Below are 14,090 nucleotides of genomic sequence, written 5' to 3'. Positions count from 1 at the left end.
ACTTCAGAGTGTCTCTTTGGTCTCATGGCATATTACTCACCACCTCAACCAGTATGCCCCAACCAAAATTTTATCAATTATCTTCGAACTTACCAAATGTATTCCACTGGCCTGCAATGTTATCCCCTCAACACTCACCTGGCTGATAACATTTTATCATGCACATCTCAGCTTAATACTCATCTCAGAGGGATGTTCTTTCCTACTCTAAAATAGTACCTGATACCTTAATTCTCTACATAACATTTATTGCTTTCAGAATTTCTTTTAATTTACTAGTTTATTGTCCATCTTGTCCTTCAGCATTAAGTGTCACAAACAAGGAACTTGTTTGTTTGCAACCATGATATAGTGCCTAGAACAGTATATGGAGATTAAAAATGCTTACTTAATGTGCTCAGCGACTGACCAATCAAGCATGTGTTGTCATAAGTGTGAGCTTTCTAGAATAATTGTGATATTTTTTATACATTTAGGTCTTACTGAACACAACAGTCTTGATGTCATAATTTTCCTATGACTCTTTCTAAGTACCATGCCCTGTTTATAGCCTCTACTAAACAAGTAGTCCTCAGGAAACCATTCTGTGCTATAGGACAGTACTGCCATGGTCGTAGACGGTGTCCTAGGAGTTTGTCTGAAGACAGTCAGTTCTTAGTCTGGTCAATTACCTAAATTGTAAACATATTTGCGAAGGAAGATACTATCTCTTATAATCTTCATATAGTAGACAGAGAAAAGCAAACAGTAGTGGAAACTGAAGCCAAAAGTTTATGATGAACAGAGACAGGAGTGTGGTTGTGTGGGGTACAGGGCAGACAAGAGTTACATTTAAGCAGAAAGTATATGCAAATAGAAACTAGGCAAAACAGAAAGTATGTTCTGTATATATTATATAACTGAATGGGAGAAGGAAGAGCAAGACCTCACTGGAGTTGCTAAACTGAGTTCATGGTTCAGTATGAGAGTAAGGACCCACGAATGCTTACACTCGACTGCCTTGAATTGACTTGGAACTATCACGGAGTAAACCTCAAAATTCCTGGCTTCCTGGGCATGTGTACTCACAATCACTTCCCCAAAGTGTGGAGAAGCTTGGCTGAGTTTCCCTCTTCATACTAAAATACACCTAACTAGATAGTTCACTGCTCTAATTTTTACATTTGTGTCTTATCGTTTTATCTTTTATTCAGTAAATATTTATTCAGCATCTGCTATGCATTAGGCACTGTTCTAGGTTTTAGGGTAAGATGTTGAATGAAAAAAGATCAAAAAACCCTAGTCTGCTGAAAATTACATCATAGAAAGAGAGATAAACAATAAAGAAAATAAATAAGTTAAATATAGTTTACAGGATAGTGATAATGCTAAGAAAAAGAAAGTAAGACAAAGAAAGGGGGTATAGTATACTGAAGAAAAAAGGAGGGATGACTTTTAGATAAGGTGGCCATGGAAGGACTCGGCCAGAAGGTTACTTTTGAGTAAAAGTTTGAGGAAAATAAGAGCACTACTATGAACACACTTGAAAAATTCTATGCAGAGGGAAGAACAAAAGAGGCCTTGTGTTGGCAAAGTGCCAAGTGTGTTCAAAGAACAGCAGAATAAGCACAGGTAAGAATGAAGTTTGGCATTTTCTTCTGAGACTTTCTCCTTTCACTGTGGAATAGAAAGTGAAGTCATCAGCTGAGAGTGAGGATGGGGAAGGAGGCATTAGGTTTCTCTGTAAGTTCCCGGTTATAATGTCTTTCACTTAGTAGGTACAACACTTAATATTCGTTGACTGTGTAACTGACCAAAAAGAAAGAAAGAAAGGCAGTAGCTATGCAGTAGAGGCCCAACACTAGTCACTACTGTGTTGAGTAGGTTGATTACTTACAGTCTTTAAGATACAGTTTTTTGGCCAGGCGCACTGGCTCACGCCTATAATCCCAGCATTTTGGGAAGCCAAGGTGGGTGGATCACCTGAGGTCAGGAGTTCAAAACCAGCCTGGCCAACATGGTGAAACCACATCTCTACTAAAAAATACAAAAATTACCTGGGTGCAGTGGCGTGCACATGTAATCCCAGCTGCTCGGGAGGCTGAGGCAGGAGAATCATTGAACCTGGGAGGTGAAGGTTGCAGTGAGCCAAGATTGTGCCACTGCACTCCAGCCTGGGTGACAGAGTGTGACTCCATCTCAAAAAAAAAAAAAAAAAAAAAAGAAGATACAGTTTTTCTCATTAGTAAAATTAGGCTCATAATAGCTACTTTATATTAGTCCATTCTCACATTGCTATAAAGAACTACCTAAGACTGGGTAATTTAGAAAGAAATGAGGTTTAGTTGACTCACAGTTCCACATGGCTGGGGAGGCCTCAGGAAACTTAAAACAATGGCAAAAGGCAAAGGGGAAGCAAGGCTTGTCTTACATGGCGGCAGGAGAGAGAGAGAGAGCAAAAGGGGAAGTCCCACATCCTTTTAAACAACCATATCTCGTGAGAACTCACTATCACAAAAATAGCAAAGGGGAAGTTAGTCCCCATGATCCAATCACCTCCCACCAGATCCCTCCTCTGACACGTGGGTATTACAATTCTAGATTTGGGTGAGGACACAGAGCCAAACCATATCATACTTAGCGTAGGGTAAAAAGTACTATTGACTGCATTTGTGGCAAAGTAATTAGAAAATGATGACTCTTGAGTGCTTAGTTCTTTTGTTTTAAATATAATTTATGTAATTAGAAGTTTATATAATTTAATTTTTAATATTATTAAAATTATTAACTTTAATAAATGTTATTAAAATTATTGTTACTTTTAATAAAATTTAACAATCAGCTTTCAGTAAAGATAAATTGGCTCCAAGACATCACTATACCTACCCTTGCCCTCTAGTAAGGGTTGGATAAAATAATAAGGGAGAGCTTAGGCTGGGCACAGTGGCTCACGTCTGTAGTCCCAGCTCTTTGGGAGGCTGAGGTAGGCAGACCAAGAGGTCAGGAGTTGGAGACCAGCCTGACCAATATGGTGAAACCCCGTCTCTACAAAAAATACAAAAATTAGCCAGGCGTGGTGGCGTGCACCTGTAATCCCAGCTACTCAGGAGGCTGAGGCAGGAGAATTGCTTGAACCTGGGAGGCGGAAGTTGCAGTGAGCCAAGATCACACCACTACACTCTAGCCTGGGTGACAGAGTGAGAATCCATCTCAATAATAATAATAATAAAAGAATAATAATAATAATAATAGCTTAAATTTGTTCAAAACCTGTATAAAGTGTTATTTTGAGATGTTATAGCAGAAACAAGAAAAGCAAAAGATAGAGTACCGCCTTATGTTCGTTGGAATTTATCATGTATCTTCAAACAGAATAATTAAAAATTAATGAACAAGTTAAATTTCTCACTTAACTTAGGTGAGATAGAAAAAAAGCTTTCTTACCACAAATATGGAAGAAGATTTTAACCTTTTCTTACTCAATGTCTAAAGAGTTGATCAATTTACTCTTTTTTGTTTTATTATTTTACTGTTTAGACATGCATCTCTCTATACATAGAAGGGCCAACTATACAACTTCTAAGAGATTTCTTTAAGTTATGAGCTAGTTATCTTTGGAATTTTGAGTACCATTTGATATTAAGAATCCTTTCCATCTGGTAATAAGAGGCACAAATGGTGAAGAAGCTTAAGTAACACCTTTTCACAGTGCATAGACAGTGAGCTATGTATTAATTCTGGTGAACTCTCTGCATATTTTATTGTAAGCTTGCGGATTGTATGTTGTTTATCAAAGTGCAGAAATAAATATAAACCAGATAGTTATTAATACATGTGGCTTTAGTTTCATAATATCTAAATATATTTACCTTTTTTTGAAAGGCATATTTATTTTTAGTTTAACCTTTCATAAAATGCACCTTCAAAAAATCTCTAAGTAGAGATTAAAAGGTATCATAATATCTACCTTAGTATATATATTGTGATTAGAGAGAAATGGTATCTACCACACTGTAACCTTTTCAAGCAAAATTAAAGGGAACTTTTAAAATATTTCATTATCCCTCTTCTATTCCTCATTCCTTCACCCCACCCAGTAAGTCTAAGAAAGATAAATACAGAGGAAAAACTTGGAACACCTTAAGACACATTCATGTATAAATCATAACTAATATGCAAATGATGTAATAGAAACAGAGTATGGCTTTTCTAAAGTAAATAATATGTATTTACTCTATTTTTAAGCCCACTAGTTTTTAAAAATAGGTTAGTGATTCCTCGACCTATCAGTCTCCTTTGCTATTGATGTTGGGGCTTATTTTGTTTTGTCAACATGTTTCCCTCACATCTTCAGAACCAATCTGGTGATTTTTCACTGCTCTATATACATTTATTTAATATAATGGTTAACGTACAACTCATTCACCTCTACTTAAAAAAAGAAAAAAACAACTCAAAGAAAGAAACAATACCTCAATAATTCCTCAGAAATTAAAAGAATTCAGTTATATCCTTCTAGAAACAGAGATGGATGTCCTCAAAGTACAGATTGATATACATCATATTTGCAGTGCCTCAAATCCAATGTTTCATTTCAAAATTTCATTTTTTAGTTTCTAAATAAACAAAACCTGTTTTTTATTATGTTTTCATCAGAAAAACAATATTGTCTAGGAAATTTCTTAACAAAAATTTGCAAATAATAGAAAAGTTAATGTTAAATATATCAAGAAATCTAATCATCCTTGAGTGATTTATACATGTGTAACTTTAAAGGCAGTACAAAGACAATGGGAAGTCTTGCTATCTGTTCTCTGGCAGGCCATATGCATGCTACAACATGCTCTGACCGGTCATAAAGTTTCCTTTTTGCCGCAGAGTCAATGTTCAGGATTATCTGGATACTCCTTATTGGAAGATAGTTACCTTCCCATTTATTATATTATTTTATAATATGTAATTTATAAGTTTAATCTATACGCTTTTCAATAATGATTTCTTGTATTGAACTCATTTCAATATCAGTTTCATAATTTTTAAGAAATCCTTTTCCCCCAATTCTTAGTATTATTTTGCCCTTTAAATTTGTTTAAGACTGAGTGTGGTGGCTCAGCCTATAACCTCAGCACTTTGGGAGGCCAAGGCAAGTGGATTGCTTGAGTCCAAGAGTTCGAGACCAGACTGGGCAATAAAACCCAACTCTACAAAAAATATAACAATTGGGCTTGTGGCATAAGCCTGTAGTTCCAGCTGCTTGGGAGGCTGAAAAGGGAAAATAACTTGAGCATGGAAGATTGAGGCTGCAGTGAGCCAAGATCACGCCACTGCAGTCCAACCTGGGCTACAGAGCAAGACCCTATCTCAAAAAGAATTTTTTTTTTTGTTTAAAAAACATGTCTTGTAAATTTGTTTGAGTTCATTGTAGATCCTGGATATTAGCCCTTTGTCAGATGAGTAGATTGCAAAAATTTTCTCCCATTCTGTAGGTTGCTTGTTCACTCTGATGGTAGTCTCTTTTGCTGTGCAGAAGCTCTTTAGTTTAACTAGATCCCATTTGTCAATTTTGGCTTTTGTTGCCCTTGCTTTTTGTGGTTTAGCCATGAAGTCCTTGCCCATGCCTATGTCCAGAATGGTATTGCCTAGGTTTTCTTCTAGGGTTTTTATGGTTACAGGTCTAACATTTAAGTCTTTAATCCATCTTGAATTAATTTTTGTATAAGGTGTAAGGAAGGGATCCAGTTTCAGCTTTCTACATATGGCTAGCCAGTTTTCCCAGCACCATTTATTAAATAGGGAATCCTTTCACCATTGCTTGTTTTTTTCAGGTTTGTCAAAGATCAGATAGTTGTAGATATGCGGCATTATTTCTGAGGGCTCTGTTTTGTTCCATTGGTCTATATCTCTGTTTTGGTACAATTACCATGCTGTTTTGGTTACTGTAGCCTTGTAGTATAGTTTGAAGTCAGGTAACATGATGCCTCCAGCTTTGTTCTTTTGGCTTAGGATTGACTTGGCAATGCAGGCTCTTTTTTGGTTCCATATGAACTTTAAAGTAGTTTTTTCCAATTCTGTGAAGAAAGTCATTGGTAGCTTGATGGGGACGGCATTGAATCTGTAAATTACCTTGGGCAGTATGGCCATTTTCACAGTATTGATTCTTCCTACCCATGAGCATTTACAAGAAAAAAACAAACAACCCCATCAAAAAGTGGGCGAAGGACATGAACAGACAGTTCTCAAAAGAAGACATTTATGCAGCCAAAAGACACGTGAAAAAATGCTCATCATCACTGGCCATCAGAGAAATGCAAATCAAAACCACAATGAGATACCATCTCACACCAGTTAGAATGGCGATCATTAAAAAGTCAGGAAACAACAGGTGCTGGAGAGGATGTGGAGAAATAGGAACACTTTTACACTGTTGGTGGGACTGTAAACTAGTTCAACCACGGTGGAAGACAGTGTGGCGATTCCTCAGGGATCTAGAACTAGAAATACCATTTGACCCAGCAATCCCATTACTGGGTATATACCCAAAGGATTATAAACATGCTGCTATAAAGACACATGCACACGTATGTTTATTGCGGCACTATTCACAATAGCAAAGACTTGGAACGAAGCCAAATGTCCAACAACGATAGACTGGATTAAGAAAATGTGGCACATATACACCATGGAATACTATGCAGCCATAAAAAACGATGAGTTCATGTCCTTGGTAGGGACATGGATGAAGCTGGAAACCATCATTCTCCGCAAACTATCGCAAGGACAAAAAACCAAACACTGCATGTTCTCACTCATAGGTGGGAATTGAGCAATGAGTACACATGGACACAGGAAGGGGAACATCACACTGGGGCCTGTTGTGGGGTGGGGGGAGGGGAGAGGGATAGCATTAGGAGATATACCTAATGTTAAATGACGAGTTAATGGGTGCAGCACACCAACATGGCACATGTATACATATGTAACTAACCTGCACGCTGTGCTCATGTACCCTAAAACTTAAAGTATTAAAAAAAAAAGCATCTTAGCCAAATATATAATTCAATACAAAATACCAAACTATCAGAGATTCTTAACCGTTTTTAGTTCCGTGGACCTTTTTGGTAGCCTACTGAAGCCTAAGTTATCAGAAAAAACATTTTGGAATGCATAAACAAAATATGTAGACTTATAAAGGAAGCCTACTATATTGAAATACTGATATTCAAATATTTTATCAATTGTGTAATTCTATTCACACATCAAATAACAAGACCTAGCAATATGCAAAATAACTACCAAAGCAATGATGATCATAAACAATAATTTGTGATACCGCCAAGAACTGTAATGTGACTTAAAAATATCTCTAATGTCTATTCGTGATAAAATTATAAGTACTGCTGCTGCCGTTGCTGCCTACATTCATAATTGAAGGAAATGCTAAATTTCTTTTGGTGGCTAATGAGAATAAAGATGTAAATTTTCCCCATCCAACTTCACACAGCCCTTGAAATCAATTTATGGACCTTGGGGTTGGTGGACCTAATGTTATGAACCTCTGACATAAAATTTTAAATTTTACAAAAGGGCCTTCCTTATAATACCTACAATTTAGAATGTCTTCCACTAAGTTGTTTAGTTTTTTTTATTCCTTTCATAGTGAACACAGATTTGATTCCTTCTTTGTCTTTTTCCCCATCCCTTTAGCTAGTATTGTGTTTGACTCAAATGGAAAATTCTCTGAACACTTGTTATTTGGGTGAATCTGAGAGAAGGCAAAAATGTCTCATTTTTTTGTTTTACTTTGCATGGTATGATCAAAATGTAAAGTTTAAGTGAGAAAACCATAGCCTGGATTCCCTACTGTGTGCTAGTTATATGTCTACTTAACTTTTCATTTTAGGAAGTGCTACAACTTCCCAGGACTGTCTGTGCCACGTATTTTTGCTTTTAAAGAAAGGGCTGAACCCTCACATGCAAGTATGAATAAGACTTTCTTCAAAGAAGAGATGAATAATGCTCTCTTTTTCATTTATCTTGATAAGATGCTTTGAAGATAATATATAAGAAAGCTGAGATGCTAAGAGTTTAAGTCATTTGGTTCTAAATCACAATTATTATGCAGTTAAACCTCATTCTGGTTTTCTGAAATTTAGTTCAGGGTCTCCTATTGCTCAGCCATATTAGGTAAAAAACTTTCCAGAATATTTCCCAAAAGTATAATCATTTTAGTGAAGTTAGCATTTTCTTTCTTCTCTGATAAGTGATCACTATTTGTCATCTATATGGTATCAAAAACCAAGTTTGTTATGTTTTTCATTTGTCCATAAAGAACAAACTTACGGTTTACGGAAATTAATCAGTAAAAGGTTATTCCATTTCTTAATTATTTATAATGTATCTACTATAACTGTTTCTGAAACATATATGGAAGTGTTCGCAATTCTTGTCAGTATGAGAGGTGTCCCAGCTAGAAAACCCTGCTTAATTACAAATGTGCTCACTCAATTAGATATTTTATACAATTAATATTATAGCATGTTGAAAACTGAATACACAATAAGAAAAATAAGACATGAAAGTGAAATGAAATAATTTGATGGCAGAAAAAGTAAGAAGTAAATTCACAATCAAAAAGTCAAGGGCAAGACCCTTTTCTGATATCTAACAGAATAGTGATCTAAAGTTTCAAACAGAACCTATTTTGGAGCTCCTCCCCCTCATGAAATGGGAATCTCATAGGAATGTAGCTTCAACAAATAGTTTTTGAAAATCTGCTGTATTGAGGACAGGGTGCCAGGTGATTGGTAACATAAAAATGGAACATGAAATGATGCCTGTCATTGAAAAGCTTGAGAATATTGATTGACTCATTCACTCAGTGTACCTACTGTGGGGCTCTTCCCATGCTGAGAATACAGCAATGAGTATAATAGACAATGACTCTTCTGTCTCAGAGCCTACATTCTAGTAGCGGAGGCCTATATTGCCTATAAATAGGCAATAAACCTGTAATCTTTGATATTGTTAAGTACTATGAAAAGCAACATAAGTAGAGCAGAATACAGGATGGAAAGTAAAGTGTGTTGCTATTTTAGATAATGCTGTCAGTAAAGGCCTCCTCCAAGAGGATGGCACTTGAGTGGAGGCTTTAATGAGAACAAGCCATAGGAATATATGGGGGAAACAATTTCACAGATGTCCTAAAATCTATGCATTAATAGATTCAAGGCTTATGGCACAGCAGATCAAAAATCATGGAATGGGCTGGGGGTGGTGGCTCACGCCTGTAATCCCAGCACTTTGGGAGGCCAAGGTGGGTGGATCATGAGGTCAGGAGATCGAGACCATCCTGGCTAACACAGTGAAACACCGTATCTACTAAAAGTAAAAAAAATTAGCCAGGCGCAGTGGCGGGCACCTGTAGTCCCAGCTGCTCGGGAGGCTGAGGCAGGAGAATGGCGTGAACCCAGAATGCAGAGCTTGCAGTGAGCCAAGATCGCTCCACTGCACTCTGGCCTGGGCCAAAGAGCGAGACTATGTCTCAAAAAAAAAAAAAAAAAAAAAATCCTGGAATGAGAAGATATGTAGTATGTCAAGAAACAGCAAAAAGACCATTTTAACTTGAGCTAAGTGAGAGAGCAAATGATGGTAACTGAGGTCAGGACTTGATGACTATGCCAAGGACTTTGGGTGTTATTCTAAGTGTGACAAACACAATTGGAGGCTTTTGAGCAGACAGTTGATTCAATCTTTCTTCCATACATATATGTATAAGGCACCATGCTAGATAAAATAAGTAAGACATAAATTTTTCTCATCACTTAGGGAAACAGGAGAGTGTAGACAGACACATTAAGCAAGGAAATGCTATGAAAGCTGACACTTTTGTACCGCAATGAAAACATCTGACTGCACCAGATACAGGCTGCAATCCTGGAACTTGAGAAAGTGCTGATTGAAGAGGGAGACAGGATGACAACTGACACTGATTGCCCAATAAAAAATGTCAGAAGGAAAAAAAATAGACTGAAAATGTCCACATAAAGAGGAAGAAGATGACACGAATCTAGAAGACATCAAGAGTGTGAACAGAGACGGAAGAGCTCAGGGTACCATGTCACGGAAACCAAGCGAAAGATAGTTTGAGGTAGGAGGATTGTTCAACCACTCAAGTCATATAAGCCTAGAATAAAGGCTGGGAAGAACCAAAGGGGCATTACACTTAGGGCCATGTATTCATTCATCCATTTGGTCAATTTTTTGAATACTGTTTCCATCCAAGACACTGAATTAGTTTCTTACCAGGGACAGTGTTGAGTAAAAAAAGGTAGAAGTTGCCATGTGTTCATGACATGTACAGAAAAGTGGATCATGTCAATGGTAAAAATGAAAAAATAATCACACAAATACAGTTTTAAAAACTAATAGTAATAACTGCTATAAAAGGATAGTGCATGGTACTATTAAAATACATAATGTGGAGCTTGATCTAGAGTGGGAAGCCGAGAAGAGTTTTCTGAGAAAACAATGAAAGAGCTGAGATCTGAGGTCCTGAGTAACCCAACAGGGCAGCTTTAGTTCAGAGTTGGGAATGAAAGGGAGTGAGGGTCGTCCCAGTGGTTTTTAAGAGAGTCTTAGTTTGTTCCAGAAATTAGAAAAATAGTTAATGTCTATATCATTTATTTTTCTGAAAATCTGTTTATGAAATTTTAAATCTCTATAGTATTGAAAAAGTAGTAATTTCATTTCATCCAACCTAAACTACAGTAATGGCCAGAAGATTAAGTAAAGTGAGAGAAGGCGAGAGAGAGACAGAGAGAGAGAGATGAAGATAGAAGTATTACTGATATAATAATTATAATAATCTCTTAGAATAACAAAGATAGAAACTTTGAGTTGCAGCCCCAGAAAAAGTGTAAGAGCATCATTTCGGGTGACTCAGAGCATGAGTGGGATTCTAGAATGCTTAACAGTTGCAAAATTAGAAAAGATTTACAAAATAACAATCACATTGTCTTCAAGACTTTTACTTTGGAGATCCTTAAAATTATGTTTAATCCTCCTCTCCCGTCAACTGTGGGAACTTTGGGAATGTACTTCCCAAACTTCTCTTTCAGCAACAGTTTCATCTTCTTTAAATAGGTTAATAGCTATTTAACATGGGTCTTGTGTAGATTACATGGAATAATATATGAAAGGCACCTTGTTTAACCCTATAATAATAATAAACAGTAGCTGTATTAATGGTGTATTAATGGTAATGACGGTGATGATTATGATAGTGATGACGTTTATGCTGTTGATGATGACAATGACAACATGATGTACATGAATTTATTCACTGTGCTGGGCAGCGGAGAGCTAAAAGACATAGATCCCGACCTCAAAAGACTTACCATCTAGTTGTTGACACACACAAATTGTTAAAACACATACAAATTGCACTGTGCTTTTAAAAACTGAAAAGTGCAAATAAAGACTAGAGGAGATCAGAGGAGGGTCTTCTTACACAAAATGTGGGATCTCAATGATAACTATGACTGCCATGAACCTTAACCCCTTTCTTATATGCTGTACTAGGTTCTTAGAACTTCTGCAACAACTTACAGTTACCACAAACTGGGAAGCTTAATACAAAGTGAATTTATTGTCTTGCAGTTCTGGAAGCTACAAACTTGAAATCCACATGCTGGCATGTCCATGCTTCCTCTGAAATCTGTAGGGGGATCCTTTCTTGCGTTTTCCTAGCTTCTGGTAGTCTGCCAACCATCACTGGCATTATCTGGCTTGTAGATGCATCACTCCAGTCTTTGCCTCCATTGTTACGTAGCATTCTGCCTTTGTATCTCTGCATCTTCACATGGCTGTCTTATTATAACGACACGAGTCTTACTTGATTAGAGGCTCACCGGACTCCAGTGTGAGCTCATTTTAATTAAATATAACTGCAAAAACCCTATTTCCAAATAAGGTCACATTCTAAGGAACTGGGGGGTTAGGATTTCAACATATCTTTTTGGATGGGGAGAAGAACATACAACTCAACCCGTAATGTATCAACTCTGTTGATGTAAGGATTCTTTTTTCTCATGGAACTGTATGTTCAGTTTTATAAGAAAAGTGAAAAGAATAGTAGGGATTTCTTTTAGCTAAAAATGACAATAAGCCAACTTAAAATGAAAACTTTTTGGAGAGAAGCTCACAAAATTGAAGACAGGTGTTGAAACTAAGGGTGGCTCTGGTACTCTCCCTCTTTATCTTTCACCTTTTCTTCTCTTTGAGTACCTGCCATTTCCTCTCAGGCTTATCTTTGTATCACTGGGTATATGTTCTAGGACCACAATTTTAAGTAAAGAATTAGAGAATAACCCCGTGTCCTTTAACAGAAAAAGCCTAGAAAAGGACTCTGACTAACCTTGTTTTGGGCCTGGGCAAATGACTTGGTTGCTATAGGTACTATGATCATGGCCTAGCATAGTCATAGGCCCAACACTTTTGTCTGATGCAATAAGTCTTTTCCAAAAACTGGAGAAGAAAGTTGTCCTGGGTAGGTATATTTGTTTGCTAGGGCTTCCGTAACAAAATGCAATCATCTGTTGGTATCCATGAAGGATTTGTTCCAGGACACCCCTGTGGATATGAACATCTACAGATGCTCAAGTCCCTTATATAAAATGGCATAGCATTTGCATATAACCTACACACATCCTACCCTATTATTTAAATGATCTCTAGATTACTTAGACTTACTCATAATACCTAATATAATGTAATTACTCTGTAAATAGTAGACGTTCGTTTTTTAATTTTATTATTTTTTATTGTTATTTTTATTTTTATTGACTATTTTCCCCCAAATATTTTTGGTCCATGGTAGGTTGAATCCATAGATGGGGAACCCAGGGATATGGAGGGCGGACTGCACCATAGACTAACTGGCTTAAACAATAGAAATTGATTTTTCATAGTTCTGGAGGCCAGAAGTCCAACATCAAGTTGTTGGCGGGGTTGACTCCTCCTGAGGCCCCTCTCCTTGACCTACAGATAGCTATCTTCTTGCTGTGTTCTCACATGGACTTCCCTCTCTGCATGCTCACGTCTGTGTCTTTATTGTTTCTTCTTATACAGACACCCATTGTATTGAATTAGGGCCCACCCATACGACTTCATTTTACCTTAATCGCTTCTTTAAAGGCTTTATCTCCAAATACAGCTACAATCTGAGGTACTGCGGGTTAGGGCATCCACCTGTGAATCTCGCAGGAACACAATTCAACCCATAACAATACACAAAGGTGAGAGCCATCAAGCATTTGTCTTATTAATCACTATATCCTGATTGGACCGGGTGCTCTGCTAGGCAGAGTGTATCACACAATCTTTATAGGAATCTTGTGAGGCTAACTCAGTCATTGCCTGGAATGTTACATATGAAGTTGAAGCTGAGAAAAGTTCATATTTTGTCCAAGGCAATACAGGAAAGCTGAAATTCAAACCCAAATTGTTTATCTGATTCCAAATTCTCCATGCTCAACACCACATTGTACTTACAGAATTTTTTTGCAGCTGGGGAGTAGTTCATTTTTTGTTTTGTTTTAGATGTGTTATGTCTTTCTCTAAAGATGAAGAATGATGCTAAAACAAAGAACAAGTTTAAATCCTATAGTCTTTTGTATTATAGACTTTGGGCAGCTTAGAGAAAATGTGGAGGGTTTCCATATGTCTCTTCCCAATTTCTGTTCATAGGCAAAAAGAAGACAGATCATTTTGGGGGGAAATTGATAAATCTTTTTAAGAAAACATCAAAATTTTAAAGAACAGATATACTTCACACTGTGGAGAAAATTTATTTTAAATAGAAGCTTGTGTTAGTCTGTATGTTTTTAATTGGAAATTGCATTAATTAGCAAAATATAAGTCTTATCTTTTGATCAGTGAATAATTAAAGACCATTTCAGCTCAGTGGCATCTATACAATTGCCTTATACCACAAAGACCAAAAATTCAGCACAATTTATTTTAGTTGAAGCATCTCTTAATGTTTACGCTTGTATTTCCTAAACACAGAACTACAGCTAATCTTTAAAAAATAGTAATTTTAGAATCTTATC

This window comes from Homo sapiens, chromosome 7 (genome assembly GCF_000001405.40).
Source record: "Homo sapiens chromosome 7, GRCh38.p14 Primary Assembly".
Lineage (NCBI taxonomy): Eukaryota > Metazoa > Chordata > Mammalia > Primates > Hominidae > Homo > Homo sapiens.
This window is presented reverse-complemented; position numbering follows the sequence as displayed.